Below are 20,414 nucleotides of genomic sequence, written 5' to 3'. Positions count from 1 at the left end.
CTGAAGAGCCACTGCTTTGAGGCAGTCATCATAATCTGTACTTAAATATTTGTGTGATTTTAAAAATACCCTCCCCACCAAGTTTTTGAGGAAAGAACGGCTTGGTCAGCCCCTAGCACACGCTTAGGGTCTAGCTGGCGCTCTGCAGTGTCGGATCACCCGGCACACACTTGCTCTTACGTTGACTCAAGTCTCCGCCCCGTATCTGTTGGCAAGTACGTGGCAAGTGCTCTGAGGGCCTGGACCTTTGCTTCTTCAACATTCCAGCAGGGACTAGGGCAGATCTAGGCACATACCTACTTCAAAACTGTCAGGGTTGAACTGTACTGAAGTCATGAAGGTCAAAGACTCAAAGCAAGTCAAAGTCCAGGCCACTTGCATTCAAGACAAACAAACAAAAACTATAGCTTTAAATATTTCCTGCAGAGTGTTTAGGCTCTCTATTTTCAAGGAGAGTGTGTGTTATTTTCCTTTTATATTCTAAAGATAATGCCACAATTTTAAAGAAGAGAGGAGATATTTAATATCTGTGGACTCAGTAGATATTGAAAATATCCCTTTAACTTGGATAAGTGCTTGTTTATAAAAAGTCAGAACTGGACAGGGCCAGGAAGCGTATTTTGTCTGAGGTCACTGTAGTCAGAGGGTAAGCTGAGGCTGACGAGGTGAACGGCCCACCTGAGGCCACCCTGAGCAGGGTCAGGTCAGGCCCACAACCAGGTCTCCTGACCCTGGCTCCCTCCATGGCCCACTGCTCACCCCAATGGGTCGGAGGCGCCCCAGGTCCTCTGTGTGAAGGCAGCCTGTGGGGCCTGTTGGGTGCTCCAGTTAACAGACTTTAGACGTGGGAGACACACACACAGTACACCTAGAAATCTGTTTTGCGTTCCCTTCCATTGCCTACCCTAAATTTAAACTGGAAAGCCTATGAAAATTTAATACGCCATGGGATTGCCAGAAAGCACAAATCACATCTCTCCCCCGGAGTCTGGGAAGCTGTACAACCATAACACCAAAGAAACCCTCTGGCTCTTCCTATTTTCTCAAGATCTGGTTGAGACTTGAAAACATATTGTATTCATTTGAGAGGGAAGAAAAATCTGCAAACCAGAGCAGTTTGAGCAGCCCATCTGCTGCAGGGCCTCGCAGGGCTGACCTGGGGCTGGGAATGGGGAGCAGAGCGGGGGGCGTGGGTGTCGGCCACACAGAGCCTGGAGCCCCGCCAGGCCCCATCCTACTAACATCTGATAGACCCACTGGGCCATCACTTCCTCCCCACCCAGCAGGCACAATGGGAACGCTGTTCAGTCGTGTGTCCCGTTCGGTGTACGCAGAAGCTAAAGCGAGCTTTGTTCTCGGCTGTTTGTCTTGGAAGTAGTAAACGTGCACCGTGACCTACAGCAAGCATGCTTGGTATTCCACAACAATCTTCGTGGAGCCCCAGCACCCACAGGCTGGCAGGCAGAGCGCACAGTTGGAGCCCCCATGGCTCCTAGCCCAGTCCCACCGCAGGAGTGTCCCTGAGGCTTTGTGACCTTGAAAGCCTGTTATTTTGTCCTAACTGCTGACATGACTTTTGGTTCCTTCCTTCTGGCTTGTCTCTCTCATCTGTGAATGGCTCTACCGTATGAATTGGGATTCCACTAGCTCTTGAACTCCTTAAGGAGAGGTGTACGTCCAGCCTTATGAATGAAGGGCAGGTGTCCCCTGCATTTTAAGAACTTTACTCATTCACTAAGCCACTGCTAGCAACATGGAACTGGGGCTGCAGTGTGTGTGCCGGCTGTGGGGGCCTGGTGTCTGCAGGGGAACGTGAGTATGGAGTCATTGCTGCCGTGCATGCGTGCATGTGAGTCTTTCTAAGAGCACACATGGCCCCATGAGCTGTCCTGCCACAGGATTAAGGTGCTATTTAACTCCCTGTTGAAATTGGCCTGGGCACTGCTGGCTTTTGCTTTCTTTACCAGAAAGTGCCTCCTCCAGCTTCCCCCTCTCCATCCCAGTGTGGTGCCCTGCCCGCCAGGATTGCTGGTGAGGCCTGGGCAGCCTGAGCTGCAGGACAAACCACAAACCACAGGCTTCAGGGAACACTCCAGGCTTGTCGCCCTCTGACTGCAGCAGACATGACATCCATCATTGGAGAGGAGGGGGGACATGGCCGCAGTGAAGAAACATGGGGCAAGGAAATAAAATGATGGAGGGGGAAGAGGGGATGAGGAGACAGGACAAGCAGGAGGCCAAACTGAGCTTTCTTTTATTTCTTTTATTTATTTAATATATTTAGGGATATATATATATTTAGAGAGAGATATATATATATTTAGAGAGAGATATATATTTAGAGATATATATCTCTAAATATATATAAAATATATATAAATCTCTAAATATATATCTCTCTAAATATATATCTCTCTAAATATATATCATATATATTTATATATCTAAATAACTATATACAGAGTATATATAGATATCTATATTCAGATATATATAGGTATCTATATTAATATTTATATCTAACTATTTTTTTGAGCAGGGTCTTGCTTTGTCACCCAGGCTGGAGTGCAGTGGTGAGATTTTAGCTCACTGCAGCCTAGATCTCCTGGACTCAAGCCATCTTCCCATCTCCTGAGTGGCTGGGACTACAGGCATGAGACACCACACCCAGCTAATTTTTTATTTTTTGTAGAGACTGGGTCTCAGTATGTTGCCCAGGCTGGTCTCAAACTCCTAAGCTCAAGGGATCCTCCTGCCTCAGCCTCCCAAAGTGCTGGGATTACAGGCGAAAGCCACCATGCCAGGCCCATGGACGCTTCAGATGTTGGGTGCACTTAACTTTTAAGCCTTGACCTTATCTATCTTCTACCCCATTTCCAACTCCACAGAAGCATATTTCCTCCAATTAAAAGGTCCTGGGGGCACTTTTCAGTGAACACTGCTTCCTTCCCAAAGCACAACTATTGTCTTAGAATACATCCAAACCCTCCTCACACTGCATTTATAAATACCACTGAAATTCACATTTCAACATGATTTTGTATAATTTATTAGAATGTGTTGAATGAATAAAAAATGAATTAAGGAAGCAAATTGTGCACAAAGATTTTCCTACACAGCACAGGTGAGGGGCCAGAGATTGTAAGTGAAAGGCTTCACAGATTGCCCGTCTTCCTGTATTTCTTGTGGTTATGTTAATAGACTTAACATTTTGTTACTAGGACTTGACTCAATTTGTAAACCGTTAAAATGAAAGCTAATTTTTCTTGATAAGTATATCATCAATTTTACAGATTTTTTATTGTATTATATCAATTCATCATCTTTCATTTAGAAGTATATCAACATGGGATTTCCCCTACTATAATAAAAGGAAGAAAAGCTGCCCAGAGAAAATTAAACTGTAGATTTCCTCCAATTAAAAAATTGTATCTTAAGACATTTTTATAAAGGCCCATGTTCTCTTTACTTGCTATGTATTCTGTGGGTTAGACATGAGGCGGAGGATATTACTCTCTGGCTTTTGTCCTTCTTGGCTGTAAGATCAACTAAATTCTCTAGAGTTTTGAGGTAATAAGTCAGCCATTTTTCCTTTTCCTCGATTCTGCTTCCCTAGTCCGCTGCCTGAGCCCCTTGACCTCCTCTTTCACTTGCTCTGTGTTGGGACAAGAGCAAAGGTTTCCACCAACTCACAGCAAGCCCAGGCCAGTGTAGAAGAGGCTCTGTCAGACTCCAGCCAGCATCTTCCCACCACTGGCTGGGGAAGGCCCAGAGAAGGTGGAGAAAGTTCAATAGAATTGGTAGTAAGAAGATAACAATAATCTTGTGGAATTTTCCAAGAACTTATTCCACAAAGTAACAATCAACAGACACTGGAGAAGAATGTGAATTATTCTGAGAGAAAGTACAGAAGGTGGGCAACAGTTTATAGACTGCACGCCATCATATTCTAGGCACCTTTAAAAAAAGCCATTTCAAAGATGAGATAACTTGGTGGAGTGAATTGAATGCAAGTTTCAGAGTCAGAAATAACAAGGGGCTTAAACCCTATCCCAGCCATATAAGGGTCAGCCAATTTCTTTATGCCTCCATTTCTTCATCCAAAAAATACCAAAAACAATACCCATGCTCCAGGCTCACCAAGAGCACTCACTCATCATGCGTGTCAAGAAACTAGTGCTGGGTAGATGCCAGTAATTGCCTGTTTCCAGCCTTTTGGGGTGGATACCAGCATGGGAGAGGCCAGTGCTGTCTCTAAGGGGAGGGAGTTATACCCACTAGAGCTAGAAAGGGAAAGACATAGAAAGTGAACATTTAGGATGTGGAGATGAGCAGGGTCTAGAGCAGAGCAGCTGCCAGACATGAGAAAAGGTGGGCCTGAGGTTCAGAGCCATGGACCCCCACACAGCAAAGCAGAAACTCACATCGAGGATTTCCTTGTTGGCTTTCGGAGATGTTGCTTCTCTTAATTCCTTGATAGCGACGGGAATTTTAACTTTCTCACCTTCTGGGATCCAGAGTCCCTATGACAGAGAGAGAAGGAAGACGTTAACTGGCAATTGTGAGATGGTGCCACATGCTGCCCAGTGATCTGGGTGGATGTTACCAGCGATGCACCCCGAAGGTGAGGGACACTGGGGCTGTGGAGCCGCACCTAAGGCTGATATTGCTGGGGGCTGTGACGCCCCCGCAGCCCTGCAGCTGTTGGGCTCCACGAATCACACTGATTATTTAGATAAAAGAATCTCAAGCTTGTAAAGCCTGTTATAAAGTCCGTGTGGATCATTTCATCCAGAATTTAATGATGCTGCGTCTAGGCCTAACTGAAATCAGATTTCATGCAAAGAGGATCTAGAAGAAGCAAACGAAGATGAGCCCATTTCAGCTGGGCTGCATTCTGATGCCGTGCGGTGAGAGGCGGCCCTCCTCCCGCCCTGTGCTGCACCCCATGGCAAGGTCAATGGCCCCTTTCATAAAAATGCCTTTGGTCTGTGAATTGGTCTCACAGGACCACTGATTACTGTGGTTATAAAAGATTTCCTCTCAATAACTTGGGAAAAACACTGGAGTTTCCCAAACACTCAGTGAAACAAAGAGTAAAGTAGATGATGGAAATATACAGCTTGCAAGGACTCTGGGCTCCCCACCAGACCATGAGAGGCCCTGCGGCCCAGCCCAGAGGCCTGTGCCAGGGACCTTACCTTATACACCGTGCCGAACGCACCGGAGCCCAGCACTTTGATCTTTTTGAATTCAGTTTCCTTCAAGATCCTCAAGAGAGCTTGGTTGGGAGCTTCTCCACTGGGTGTAAGAGGCTCCACAAGCTGGGGGGGACAAGAACACAGAGACAAGGGTCACCTCAGCCCTCACCATGCTGGAAAGCAGTGCCAGACATGGCCCAGCAGGGGGACCAGCAGCCACGGCATGGGCTTGGGTGCCAGGACACGGCACTTGCCAGCTCATTTGGAAGGACAAATGTACGCCTTCTCTACAGAGCTTGACAGAAGTTGGTAGAAACACAGGCTCTGATACAGGTGTTCTTTAACTGAACAGCTACCTTTCAACAAACACAATTTCTATGTCTGTTTCCACGCCTATTAACTGGATTGAAAACTCCGGTAGGGAAGTTGTGCATGGCGGTCGTTTGGTTGGGGCACATCACACGCGCTTATGCTTATGAGCCGCTGGGTTGCTCTTTCCAGAGAACATGGCTTCCAGCACAGGACTGGGCTGTGGCGAAGTCCATCATGGACAAAGCCACTGTGTGGACAATGGTGTTTTCCAAAGCAGGAATCTCTCGCCTTCGCCACAGTGCCAGCATGGGATCAACAGCCAGGCTTCCTGGCCTCCCTCCTATGCACACACAGGCACCGGGTCCTAAGCAGATGCCACACAGCTTTGTGGACATTGAAGGGTGCAGCCTAGAAACATTGCCATTTCCTCGGATGGATGTACCAACATGTCACCAACTGGGTATAACTGCACATTCAGAGATTCTTTCTGCATCATAATACAATTATGTATCTAACATACACAACTGCTAATGGCCCGTTCTCGGGGCTGGCCCTTGTTCCTGTCGGGGTGCGAGGGCTCCTGAGCCCACCCAGGACTGGCACTCACCTCCCTCTCCTGCAGCAGCCTCCGCAGCGTGCGCTTCCGAACGATGTGGCGCCTTCGCATGAAGAGGCCGATCCCCAGGGCCACCACCAGCAGCAAGAGGAGGGCCCCCACCATCCCAGTGGCGATGGACGGGATCTTAGGCCTGGAATGAGGTGGAGGAACAAGGAAGGGTGAGGTTGCTGACAGATTCCATGGCCTTGGCACTCAACACGCCCCTGCATGTTTCAGTGCACTGACATCTTGTAGAATGATCTTGGAAAGTGAGACACTATGTAGCTTCTAAAAGGAGAAAAAACAGGCTTCTAAGGCAACGTTTCCAACTTTCTCAAGCTCTCCCCAGTCCCCTACCAGGCACACTTTTCCTCATTTTTTAAAATTGAGGCTTTATCTGGACCTCTCCATATAATGAGTATTTTTCAATTTGTTGATTAACAAAATATGATTCAAAAAATAACTTAGACTTCAATAATGCTTTTTCATGGATTGGTATTTTGTTCATTCCAAGAGTATTTCCATGCAATTGAAGTGCCATAGTCCATACACATGGACCAGGCACTGCCTCTGGCCAGGCTGGGTGAAGGGACTTTTTGGCAATGCTGAGACTCCTCTGGGTCCTTGGCTTTTAAGATGAGCACATGGATTGTGTGAAATACTCTCTGAACGAGCTTGAAAGGGGTTATAAAGGAATAGGATTCAGACATAGAAAGCATCATTGTGATGAGTGATGTCATCATGCAGCCTCAGACTGTAGGGTGCATTTAATCCTCCCTCCCACAGAGGTCATGTCTAGTTCCAGAGAGAGGAAACCAGAAGCCACATGTGCCAGCTCACTAGAATACCGTAAGATATAAAGAATCATTTGCTATGGAGCGCATATCCATAGGGCGCCACAAGAGTAAGGGCGGGTGAACAGGAGGAGAAGAAAAAGATGGAAAAGAGCAGATGTAAGAAGGAATGGCCATGACTGGTTTCCAGGTGGAGACATGGTGGAAAGCCCCGTGACTAAGATCCCTGAGATTGCAGTGTGGAGTGGGGAAGTTCTGCTGGGTGTCCTAGCAGCTCACTGAAGAGATGGGAGTGGAAGGGGACCCAGTCTTTTTGAAGTTGCCTTCTTCCTCGATCATGTGACACTGGTGGCAGGAGAGAGAGCTATGGCTGTCAACTCGGGGGCGGAGGAGCATGCCAAAATGAAGGAAGGGCAGTGGTGAGGAAGGGACTTTGTAAATGTTACCAGAGATGGCAGAGGGGCCTGGAAGTTTGGTTCATGTTTGGAAACATCCAAAATGGCAAACAGGTGCTCGGTGTATAATTCCATGATTCCTGGCTAGACGCCATCGAGAGTAACACCACTCTTTCCTGGTGAGTTTGAATAAGACTTTTCAACCTTGCTTTTCTCAGGGCTTTGCTCTGGCAAACTGGCCAGAGCTGATGTTGAAGGAAGCCCTTTTGCCTTTGCTGGGCAGTGTGTCTGGGAAAGAAAGCAAGGAGAAACACTCCCCTATGCTGGAGGTTGTCATCGAACAGAAAGGCCACTCACACACAGGCTTGTGATGGGACCAATGGGGTAAGTGGACAGAAAAAAAGAGGAGCTAGAGGCACAGAAGGACCCAGCAAAACCAGTGGAACCAAGGAATTCAGAGGCAGGCCATGCATCGAGCAACGGCGGAGCAGGGAGCAGCCCCAGCACTGTGTGTCCAACTTTCCCTCCACTGAGGACAAAGTTGGCACGTGGAGCCACGTGGAACCAGCTGGGCAGTCTCTGCAGAAACCCTGGCTGAGGGTAGGCTGGCCCAGAGCCATAGAAACTTGATCAGGACAGAGGACAGTCAGAAATGCAGGAAAGCATCTTCACCCACAGCAGTGTGGTCATTCTTGACGAGGTCCATGTGACACAGAGCTGTGAACACTTACCCATTCGTTGGACAGCCTTCAAGACCTGGCCCAGTGCATCTGTAGGAAGTGAAAGAGAAATATACATTTTTCTCATTCTACTTCTTTGGCATATATTTTGGAGATTTTTAATTAAATCATAAAGCAATATATGCTAAACTACTCTTAAATAATTAAAATCACTATGTGTCTGGATGTTGGATTGGTGGTTAATTATTTATTATGCATTTATTCATTTGTTCATTCACTCAGCAAATATTTTTGAGTTTCTACTCTGTGACAGGCGTTGTTCTAGCATTGAACAAAGCAGCCAGTTTGTTATTGAGATGTTTTCACATCTGGCTTTTGACACAGATAATTGTCCCACAGCTGGCTCTAGAATTTCAAACAGAGGGGCAGAAGGAACCAAGGCTAGAAGCATGGACTGGGGCCATGCTAATTACGGAGAAGGCTGGCAGCATGGAGTCCCTGCAGGTTTCTGACAAATTCTGTGCTTTGAACAATCATCTGGCAGCGAGGAGGAAGAGGTCAGTCCTGGGGGTGATGGTTAGCTACTAGTTGGGGTGAGAGGCACTGGCAAAGGGAGTGGAAGGAAGGAAATGGGTAGGATACTCTTGGGAACCTGGCGGCCCACGTGCAGGGGTGGCAGAAAGGAAAAGCGGGGGGAACAGACACGTGAAGGCATGAGGCTCAGTGGCAGGAGGAGGCCGTGATGATCACAGATGCAGAAGGCCAGGCATGGAGGTGGCTGCATCCACCCCAACCCAGCTGAAACTCTGACGGCAGAAGAGAAGGGATCCATCCTAAGCATGACTCCTGAGCAGCTGGGCTCCCGCTCTGGTGGGACACGCTGCCATCATTACTTTGATTACAGGATGATAGTTTAAAAAGGCAGAATAACATGGCTTTGAGACTCTCATTTCCTGGCCTGGAGAAAGATGGACAAGTACATTTCAATATGTGAGAGGCCTGGGGAGCCCTGGTGTAACACTATAATCTGATCCTAACAGTTTCTATCTCTGCTCTCCAGGTCTCTGTTCTCTACACTGCTCTTCTTAATTTGGGGGTCTGGGTGCTCCCTCTTTTCCATGGTGTCATGTACTGCAGTCTTACCCCTGTGGTGCTTTTGAGCTTAGTTCATAAACCAAACACACAGGCTTCGTAGGGGTGGAATATACAGGAGACCTCGTTACTGCCCACCCCACTACCTCCTACAGACACCAAACAGTCTGAGACAGAAAGCAGTCACTCAGGAACAGACCTAATAGCAGTCTCTCCCTGCCTGCTGAATGCAATACAATGGGAACACCCGGCAGAGGGAGGGCAGATTGAAACTGCAAATTTTCTACAAGATGCAGTCTTATGCAGGCTCTGAAAATGCTTTTGGGCAACCATAGGGATTGCTAACAAGAAGCTGTGACAGACTTGTAGGGAAAGGTAGACCAGTTGACCCTTGAAGAGAAGCTGGACAAGGACAGTGGCAGGACGGGGCTGCAGGAGAGAAGGATGTGAGAGCGTCAGAAGGCGAGGGGCTCCTGCTGACGCTGATGAGGCCCTCGGTAACTCTGCAGAAATGACTATTGAGTATGAACTCAAGCAGCTATAGCATGTTATTTAATTCTGTCAGAAAAATTATTCTCTGGCTCCCACTTGATTCTTTTTTTTTTGGTAAGGAATTTATACATATTTGCAATTATAGCAGTAACTAAACTTTGTTACATATAATTAAAATAGGCAAATTTTCATATTATTTGGTTTATTAGGATAAAGATTTCAAAGCAACTTTCTCCTCACCGTGTACTATGAAAACACAGTTCCATTTAAAAATAGATATTCCTGCTGGGCGCAGTGGCTCACGCCTGTAATCTCAGCACTTTGGGAGGCCAAGGTGTGTGGATCACTTGTCAGGAGATCAAGACAAGCCTGGCCAACATGGTGAAACCCTGTCTGTACTAAAAATACAAAAATTAGCCAGGCGTGGTGGCAGGTGTCTGTAATCCCAGCTACTCGGGAGGCTGAAGCAGGAGAATTGCTTGAACCTGGGAGGTGGAGGTTGCAGTGAGCCAAGATCACGGCACTGCACTCCAGCCAGGGTGACAGAACAAGACTCCGTCTCGACAAAAAAAAAAAAGAAATAGCTATTCCTCCAGGGTTCCTCCCCCTCGTCTGGGTGGCTGCACCTGCCCGGTTGGAAGGTAGGGCTTTTGGAATCAGCAGCTGCTTATGCTGTAGTCTGGGCTCTGATGCTGCTGTTCACAAGTTGTTAAAGAAACCCCTGTAAGTGTTTCTTTAACAATAGAAATGGAGAAGGCAATACATCCCATCTGAGAAATGAGAGAGACAATATATTCAGGAATGTTGTGCACGTCATAAATACTCAGTGAAAGAAATTAAAAAAATTTTCCCTCTCATCAACACTTGGCCGTATTTTAAAAATTAAACCCATTTCTATCGTGTAATTCCTATATAATTAATGGCTTTGGGAGAAGACACAGGTGGCAATAACAAGATTATATCAAACTATATACTCATCTAAAAAGGCTCAGAATCAGGAATGTAATCACACATACTAAAGAAAATATTTATAAAATTCCATATGTCAAATGAATAGTGTCAGGACTTTATTTGAAGCAAAGGGAGAAATTGAAATTGTAGAAAGGAAATGCAGTTTTAGTGGGAGACTAAAGTCAGACAGTGAAGATTTATTAGGACCTGGGAAAAAATAGAAAGACATTAGAAAAATGACCACTAACATTTTTAATTTAAATCTTGACTAAATCCCCTCTTTCTATATTTGGCAAACTATTTCTTATACAAAGTAAGTGTATTGAAAATGCCAAAACCCAATCACTTTCTGGACCTCCCCTAAGCCCAGCAACATATGCTCACTGACACAGAGATACTGATATAGAGATATTGATGCAGAGATACTGATGCACATCTATTCCAGAAGAAAGAAAAGGGGGAAGATAAAACATTTATTCTATACAGATAATATAATTCTGTTTCAGAGGCTTAGCTCCAAAATTGCTTATAGAAATAGATTACGTGAAACACTAGCAAAGCATCTTTTATACCATGCTTCATCGAGCTCACAAAGTGGCCAACAGAGCTGGCATGTTGGTATACCCAAAGGCGAAAATATGAAGAATCTTACATTGTTCCCAGGGAAATATTTGTTAAAATTCAAAATCAATTCCAGATTTTAAAAAACAGTTAAAAACTAGGTATAGGTGAGTACTTCCTTAACTAGATAATTAGTATCTCAGACTAATAGCAAATGTTGTTTTTCACGCTGAGACATTAGAGCTATTCCCATTACCTTTAGATGCCAAGCTCTGATGTCCACTGTCATTATGTCTGATATTATTCTGGAAACTTGGCCCTTATAATATGATCTGATACTTTTGGAAAAGATATTAAGATATCACTGTTGGAGATTATATGATTGTTTTCCTAGAAAGTTGACAAATCATCATCATGTCTCAATCACCGTCACTGCCACTGTTGTTACTCCCACGTCCTCACCACCATCATCGCCACCACCGTGACTTCCACCTCCTCACCACCAACACCATCATCGCCACTACCATTGTGACTCTCACCTCCTCACCACCATCACCACCATCAACACCACCACCACTGTGACTCCCACCTCCTCACCACCATCACCACCATCAACACCACCACCACTGTGACTCCCACCTCCTCACCACCATCACCACCACCACCATTGTGACTCCCACCTCGTCACCACCAGTAACACCATCATCACCACCAACGTTGTGACTCCCACCTCCTCATCACCATCACCACCCTCATCACCACCACCACTGTGACTCCCACCTCCTCACCACCATCACCACCATCAACACCACCACCATTGTGACTCCCACCTCCTCACCACCATCACCACCATCAACACCACCACCATTGTGACTCCCACCTCCTCACCACCATCACCACCATCACCACCACCACCATTGTGACTCCCACCTCCTCACCACCATCACCACCGACACCATTGTGACTCCCGCCTCGTCACCACTGTCAACACCGTCATCACCACCACCATTGTGACTCCCACCTCCTCATCACCATCGCCACCATCAACACTGACACCATTGTGACTCCCACCTCCTCATCATCATCACCACCATCAACACCACCAACATTGTGACTCCCACCTCCTCATCACCATCGGACCATCAACACTGACACCATTGTGACTCCCACCTCCTCATCATCATCACCACCCTCATCACCACCATTGTGACTCCCACCTCCTCATCACCATCACCACCATCAACACCACCAACATTGTGACTCTCACCTCCTCACCACCATCAACACCATCATCACTACCACCATTGTGACTCCCACCTCCTCACCACCAACACTGCCACCATTGTGACTCCCACCTCCTCACCACCACCACCACCAACACCACCAACATTGTGACTCTCACCTCCTCACCACCATCAACACCATCATCACTACCACCATTGTGACTCCCACCTCCTCACCACCATCAACACCATCACCACCACCATTGTGACTCCCACCTCCTCACCACCATCAACACCACCACCACTGTGACTCCCACCTCCTCACCACCATCACCACCATCAACACCACCATTGTGACTCCCACCTCCTCATCACCATCCCACCATCAATGATGCTATCATTGACTCAGTATTCACCATTTTCCAGGCACCATTTTAAGTATATGACATATCTTAACTCATGGTCATAAAAATCCTGTGAGCTATGCAGCATTATTATCCCAATTTACAGAAAAGAAAGTGAGGCACAGAGAAGGTAAGACCCTTGCCCAAGGGCACACAACTCATACAGATGGATTCAGAGAAAGAATGAGTAACAGTTCCAAACAAAGCTGAGGATTTTGAGAAACAGAAGTAAGTGTGAACTACTATATGACAGCTCAACTTCTCTTTCTGATTGTTGAGTGGGATCCAGTTTGATTGACAGCTTTATTATTCCAGTAAATAAGATACACACAATCAGAGTGCTTCTGCTAATTCCAGTCAAAGTAGCTTTTTTTTTTGTTTTTGTTTTTTGCGACAGAGTTTCGCTCTTGGTGCTCAGGCTGGAGTGCAGTGGCGAGATCTTGGCTCACTGCAACCTCTGCCTCCCGGGTTCAAGCAATTCTCCTGCCTCAGCCTCCTGAGTAGCTGGGACTACAGGTGTATTTTTAGTAGAGGTGGGGTTTCACCATGTTGGCCAGCCTGGTCTCAAGCTCCTGACCTCAAGTGATCTGCCTGCCTTGGAATCCCAAAGTGCTGGAATTACAGGCGTGAGCCACTGCGTCTGGCCCAAAGTAGTTTTAATTTAAGTAGCAACAGCTTAACAATCAACTAGCTTTAAAAAAGTGTCTTTAAGCAACATTCCAGGCAATGTTACCTTTTATTCATTGCAAAACAGCTAATCCCCATGTTAACCTTAGAAATCTGGAGAGAAACGCAAAAGCCCCTGGAGACTGTGGCAGCTGCCAGGACCTGTGCTCTTTTGTCCCCCTACCCTCCTGTTGTGATGTGCAGCATTGCACAACACAGGCCCGGCCGGGGACACGGTGCATGGCAGAGTCATTCCCACTGCACTGAGGCCTGCTCACAAGCAAGTTGCTACTGGCATGGCTGTGGGGACCAAAACACCTTAAGTAACTGACTCAAATACAAACCTCGGCAATTTGTTGCCGGAAAACTTGGGAGACATTTTTGATCTCTGAATTTGCAAGAGAGGAAATGTTCTGTTCTCCTTCACTTTCCACTCACCCGTAGGTGCAGTTTGGATGGCACAGGTGGCACACATGGCCGGCGTCTGCGTACTTCCAGACCAGGGTGTTGTTTTCTCCCATGACTCCTGCCGGGCAGGTCTTGACGCAGTGGGGGCCGTCAATGTAGTGGGCACACTGGATACAGTTGTCTGGTCCCTGCACCAAGGTGGAGAAAAATGTTCATGCATGTCTCTTTCTTTTCTCTTTCAAAATGGAAGTAACTTTTTACTTAAAATATTTAGTGTGTGTGAGTGGGGAAAGCCAAATGATAGAAAAATTCTTAAAGGAGAAAACCAGTTATTCTGTGATTGCACCTGCTTGATATGGTCACTGTTAGTTGCTTAGAAGTTCTCCCTGTTTTTGAATGCATATGATATACACCAGCATGAAAGAAATGATATTCTCTACATTATTGCATTCTGCTTAACCATTGTGGGCATCTTTCCTTGGCAAAACCATCTTGATTGGCCCAAATGTGTATTTATGGTCAGATAGTCTTTCTTGCATATTATAGTTGAAGTTAAAGGGAAGCTCAGAGGGAGGCAAATTTAAGAAAACCCACATGAGTGTTTCTCCAGTGACAGGAAGGTGGCAAGTCTCTGTGCAGTGGTTGGCATATCAAGGACTGAGTCATACGCTACCTTCTATTTGTAAAACTTGGAATAACCTTGCAAAACTCAAATAAAAGCATTGGGACTCAAATAAAAGCACTGCTCAGGTTGTGTGCCCCACACTTCAGAAGTAGCAGAAATAAAACCAGCAGGGAAAGGCTTTCCCCTTGGCTAAGTTCTCTCATGTTGGTTTTGTCCACTCAAGGGCTGTGTGTGCCCAGAGCCAGCATAATTAGATGACTATGTCAATATCGCCAATTATTTTAATGACAGAAATTTAACCCAACACCATGCAAACCTATAAACCAAGTCTTTACTTTGTAAGCAGCCACGCTGGCAGCCTATCCCTCAAAACACAGTCCTGTCATCTTCTGCCCAATTTAGAGAATGTCTAAAAAATGTTTTCAGTTAGTAGATTTAGAACTGGCTGTTGAAGCTCACAAGAAAACAGAGCTCCCTATATAATAACATTGAGAATTAACAACATCAGGACATTTGGTGTGAGAGGGGCCCGAATTCTCACTCATATTCTTTAAAAGATTATTGTAAAGAATATTGTATCTATATGTTATTGAACATATAGATACAAAGTTGTGCAGTTTAAAAAGTTTTGCTAGCAATTTCTTTAAAAATTCTTCAATTAATTACAAGCTAATGTTAAGAATTTGAGGATGTTTGATGAAAGCGATAAAGCAATGCTGACTAGGTCAGGGATGGGGGAAACCAGGTGAAAACAGCCTCCGTTAAATGTGAGGATTTGATAAGCTTAGATAAGGTTGGGGGTGTCAGCAGAAAGAGTGAATGTTCATCGCAGGCTAATGTGTGTGCTAATGTCACCGACACCCTGCCCGGACAGCGCTGTCAGCGCCTGCCGTCTCCTCTGGGAAGTGGCTCTGATGGCCGTCCTGCCCACACAGGATGCCCTGGGCCATCATCACTGTTCGGCTTCTGTGAAGGCCCTTCCCATGAAATGGACGTGGATAGCAGCAAGGGGCTCTTACCCGTCCTGTGCAGGTGATGTTCATGGCCTGAGGCAGGCACTCTGGGTGGCACTGTATGCACTCAGAGTTCTCCACAAACTCCCTTGGCTCACTGAGAGGAGGAAGAGGAAACCCGTCAGCCCACCCCTGAGACATTATTGCAGGAACACAAATCACCTCTTCAAAATTCCAAATAACTTGAGGTAATGGTCAAGGAGTTGGGACTCCAGGACTATATAGTAATATAATCAGCTGATTTTGTTAACTGAATCCTGGGTCATCTTCTCTCTGAGTAAACACAGGAGCTTCATTCATAATCAAGATATCTTTTCTGCTTTTTCTACAGCATAGTTTTTGCATATTGGGTAAGCAAGCCAAATGATAAAAGAAAAGATAGTCCTGAGGAGGTGTTCCCTGCCTCTAATACCAGATTCATGGTTATCAAAATTAAGCTGGAAAAATGATAATTTTAGATTAAGTGATAGAAAAAGGAAGGAGGGAGAATGAACTCGCTCAATGGTTATTACTAAAAATGGTGAGTGTGGAACACAGGTATGAAAAACTTAGCTTACAATATTTTGACATCCCTCAAGATGTACACATCAATGTTAAGCAAGAAGCTGATGTTTGATTGAAAAGACAGAACAGATGTACGGCTGTTTGTCAGTAAGACTGGACTCTGCCTAGTAGTCAAGCATAGTTCTACCCTCCAGCAGCGAACAAGGAGTGTTTATTCTCCAAAGTGTGTGCCTTGGCTAGGTGCAGTGGCTTATGCCTATAATCCCAACACTTTGGGAGGCCGAGGCGGGCAGATCACTTGAGGTCAGGAGTTTGAGACCAGCCTGGCCAACGTGGTGAAACCCCGTCTCTACTAAAACTACAAAAAATTAGCTGGACATGGTGGTGCACACCTGTAATTCCAGCTAGTTGGGAGGCTGAGGCAGGAGAATCACCTGAACTCAGGGGGCAGAGGTTGCAGTGAGTTGAGATCACATCACTGCACTCCAGCCTGGGTGATGGCGTGAGACTCTGTCTCAAAAAACAACAAAAAAGTGTGTGCCTTTCATCCTCCCCTTTGGTCAATGGCACCATTAAACAAAATGTGATACAGGGTTGTGTCTTCTGTGCTTCTTCTCTGGGTCACTGCCCTTGCTGAAGGGGGCTGGGCTTGCAGAGGGAGCAGGTGCTGCTGGACACCAGGTTTCTCTACACTAATGGAAGGACATGGGGCTCCCCACGTGGGCGTTTTCATCACCTTGCCTCTTAAGAAACACTTGAAAACTGAAAACATGAGACCACTGTCCATTTGTAGCTGTAAGGATTGCATCAATATTCCTTACTTGAAGTTGAAGCAGCACTATCAATTATGTGATTTGTTCTGAGCCTATCAGCTAAAGGATTCCTATAGAATTGAACTTGGTCCTCTTATCCTGCTCCTAAATATTTCTGGATCCAAGCTGTGGTCCATGCCCAGAGAGTAAAACAGGAAGAATTCCTACAGCCATCTGTAATTCCTATGGTGCTCACCAAATTTCCCTTTTTCTTTAAATCTTCTAAAACATGGCCTTGGCCTCTATCCTTCAGTTTTACTTTCCTATTTATGTTTTGTCCTCATTTGTCGTTCAAAGCCTTACATCAATATCAAGAACCTCAGAGCATTCACAAACTGCACTTTTTATTGATTGCAACTAAATTCAACAAACATCATTATGAATTATTTCTTTGTCCGTGGGTATATTTAAAGTCCCTGGTACTGTTTGATGTTCAACACATGCTGGGGGCACATAAAACAGATATTAACTTGGCAATATAATTTGTGTTAATTTATTTTCACACACCAGGAATCGGGCACTACAAAGAAAAGCCCAAATGGCCACGGTGTTGGCTAGATGAACCATTGATGACTGTCTCATTTGTCTTAGGAACTTTTTGTAGCTTAGAAAAATTTAAGATACTTCCAGGAAAAGAGATTCTATAAATTATTGGATTATATTAGGCAATAATACTTGCTTATTTCCTATTGTGCTTAAATTTGCCAAAAATAACGCAATCAAACAACTTCCCGTCTCCCCACAGAAAACCCAAAACCTCCAAAAGCCAAGGGCAAAGAATAAAAGGAAGAGAAAATCAAACAGAATGCCTGTAAAGCTATAACAACAACCTGGAGCCTTATTTTTGATCAACGCAAGGGGATTAAAGAAATAACCTCCTACCCCTCCAGAAGGTTGCACTTGTCCACGCATTCCCTGCCTCGGCTGACATTCCGGCAAGAGACGCAGTCCCTGGGCTCCGGGCCCCAGCAGCCCTCGGGGGAGCACAAGGCATGGCAGACCTGGCCTGTGGCCTCTGCGGAGACAGAGTGGGTCACAGCAGTCAGTGACAGAGCAGGGACCCGAGGGGCCGGAGGAGACGGCACCTTCCCGGGAGGGGCCCTGTGCTCCATGACCTTGGGTGACACAGACATGCTGGCTACCCCTGAAGGAGGAGGACACAGACTGGGCTTCCCAGAGGCCGACCGTGACTGGAAGGACAAAGTAGTTGTGCTGGCTGCTGGGAAGACTGAAATGTGCCTGACAGTGGAGGACAGGTCTTCCTCCTGGTGGGAGCCAGGCACCCTGGCACCCGAGAGGGGGTGCCGTGAGTCCTCCCCTTTGGCAATGGCATCAATTAAACCAGATGGGACTCCATGTTTTCTGTGCTCCCACGGCCACTGCCCCTGCTGAAGGAACCAGGTGTGCAGAGGAGCAGGTGCTGCTGGGCACAGGGTGTGTTTTGATGGTACCCAGGGCAGCCTGGAGCAGAGCTGGTGGTGTTCTGATGACAAATCCCACAGCTGATAGGAGCCATTGGGCCATTGGCTGTGTGCTGTGTGCTAGGCACCATGGAAGGGTTTTACACACAGGAATTTCACTGAATTCTCTCAAAGCACTACGGCGTAGGAATCATTCATATCTCCATTCTATGGATGAGGAAGCCAAAGCCTAAACAGATTAAGGGAATTGACAGAGGCTCAAAGCTAGGGAGGCCAGACCAGCACTTGACTCAAAGCTGACGCTGCCCGTGGCCAAGGCCCAGCACAGGCCAGGCTCTCACCAGCTTCAAAAGCTGAGGCTCTAGAGCCAGAACAGGAAGTGTTGATGTAAAGTGCTCATTCCATTCCTCTGTGTGTGTATGTGTGTAGCTGTAGTCTTTACAGGCTGAAATGAGCAGAGAGTGACCTACAACTAAAAGGTAATATAACTAATACTAAATTTAGTTACTTACATTACAAATAATTGGTAGCCTAAACCTCAGGGTAAATTCATCCCATTGAATGGTAATGATCTGGAAAAAGTTTTAATGGAATTCACATGGTAATTTCACAGTTAGGAATCTTAAGATTTTAATTTGCTTCTTAAGGAACTGAAAAAAGTAATTTAAATGGGAATAGCCCTTCAATATTCTAAATACAAATAAAGGACCCATTAGAACCAACTCCATAAACTAAACAGAAAGCGGTGACTTACTGCAGCTGTTTTCACCTCTGTTGCTTATAATTTTGGTTTTCTGACCGGAGGTCCCAAACAGTTTTTTCCAGTTTATTGTATTTGCATAGCACAAATTTTTGTTTCCTGAAATTATCACATCTCCATCACTTATCTCCTTGAGGGAGCGTAATCCCAAGGATGTTATGTTCAGGCTGACGACTGCAAGAGAAAACTGACCACTACATTGGAGAGAAGAAAAATCATGTGGTGAAAAATTATAAAAACAATGTATCCCTGAAAACTTTGTTTCTCCAGACCACCTTTGATTGACTACAAACTGCTTTCCAATGATGGTAGGTCATGCTGTGGGAGGCACACACTGCACCTTTTGAAAACTGCAGGTGTTTTTAAAGTTCCTCCAGGCAAAAGATAGTTCCTTGTTTATTTAGTATCTTTAACCCAGTGGCAGATGGGGAGGATGAATAAAATGCCTTAATGTCATTATATTTTCTCCATTTTCATTTTGCCTGGAAATTGAGAACATATTCTAACCTCTCAAACAGCCAAATACACTTCAAAGGTGTGGGTTCATCCATCTATCCACCACCCAACCTGTCCCTCTATCCATTCATATATTTATTGAACAAACACTAGAGGTTCTCTGTCCCAAATTCTGTGCAGGTTAAATATGTTTCCTCCTCTCCAGGACGCTTGATCTGGTGGTGACACAACCCCGTAAGCAGATCATTTTGAGCCGGTGTGAAGAGCACAGTGAGTGTGGGCAACATGGAAGCAAAGAGCAGGGGCCTCTGACCAGGTCTGGGAGGGATGCCTGGGAAGTGGGGCCTTCCTCCAAAAAGCTATGCCCAAGGTTGTGAGGCCCTGAAAGCAGTAACTGTGGCATTTTCTTCACCATCCAACATGACACTAGGATGCTATTGGGTGGTCCAATGTGTATATCAGATGACTGGATGGAAGTCATTCAGACCGAAGGGGGGATGTCCTCAGCCACCTGGAGGAGCAGGAAAGCACGCGGTGGACATGAGAACCACTAGCCCCAGCCAGACCACGATGGGTGTGAGAACCACTAGCCCCTCCTGAACCACGATGGGTATAAGAACCACTAAGCCCCTGCCGGACCACGATGGGTGTGAGAACCACCAGCCTCTGCCAGACCACGATGGGTGTGAGAACCTCTAGCCCCTACAGGACCACGATGATGCAGGCTGGGAGGGCTGGGCTGGTTTGGGGAGGGAGCACAAGGCCAGAGTGCACCTTGTGGAGGAGCTGTCTGTAATTGAGAAGGAGCCACAGGAAAGAGATCTGCATTTGCAGGAAGCTCTCATCTGACCCCAGGCTGGGGGCTGGGCCAGCTGAGAGCACTGGATGAAGAGACTGATGTTCAGGTGTTGGATGGCAGGGGGTTAGAGTATCATCCAGAGGCTTCTCCTCTCCCTGCTGCTCTTCTTTCCCCCATCTTTTTCCTTTCTCCTACACAGATGAGTGGTCTCGCATAGGAGCCTGTAACCAATACCATTAGGAATTCT

At 46.1% G+C, this 20,414-nt stretch overlaps 1 protein-coding gene across 10 annotated transcripts in view; it reads right to left on the bottom strand.

Annotated features, from left to right (window-relative positions):
- EGFR (epidermal growth factor receptor) overlaps positions 1-20,414 on the bottom strand; it is a 192,612-nt gene that overhangs the window by 32,384 nt on the left and 139,814 nt on the right. For 8 of the 10 annotated variants that reach the window (NM_005228.5, NM_001346899.2, NM_001346941.2 and 5 more), the window contains 8 exons: positions 18,907-19,106; positions 17,614-17,746; positions 15,422-15,512; positions 13,808-13,965; positions 8,032-8,070; positions 6,121-6,262; positions 5,202-5,324; positions 4,425-4,523 (listed from right to left, as the gene is read on the bottom strand). In NM_005228.5, coding sequence (NP_005219.2) covers positions 4,425-4,523; positions 5,202-5,324; positions 6,121-6,262; positions 8,032-8,070; positions 13,808-13,965; positions 15,422-15,512; positions 17,614-17,746; positions 18,907-19,106 — 985 coding nt within the window. Of the gene's footprint in view, positions 1-4,424; positions 4,524-5,201; positions 5,325-6,120; positions 6,263-8,031; positions 8,071-8,207; positions 8,939-10,609; positions 10,723-13,807; positions 13,966-15,421; positions 15,513-17,613; positions 17,747-18,906; positions 19,107-20,414 lie in introns of those variants that run through there. The other 2 variants (NM_201284.2, NM_201282.2) reach the window with 2 other exon arrangements.

Source organism: Homo sapiens, chromosome 7, assembly GCF_000001405.40.
Source record: "Homo sapiens chromosome 7, GRCh38.p14 Primary Assembly".
NCBI classification, from domain to species: Eukaryota; Metazoa; Chordata; class Mammalia; order Primates; family Hominidae; genus Homo; species Homo sapiens.
This window is presented reverse-complemented; position numbering and strand designations above follow the sequence as displayed.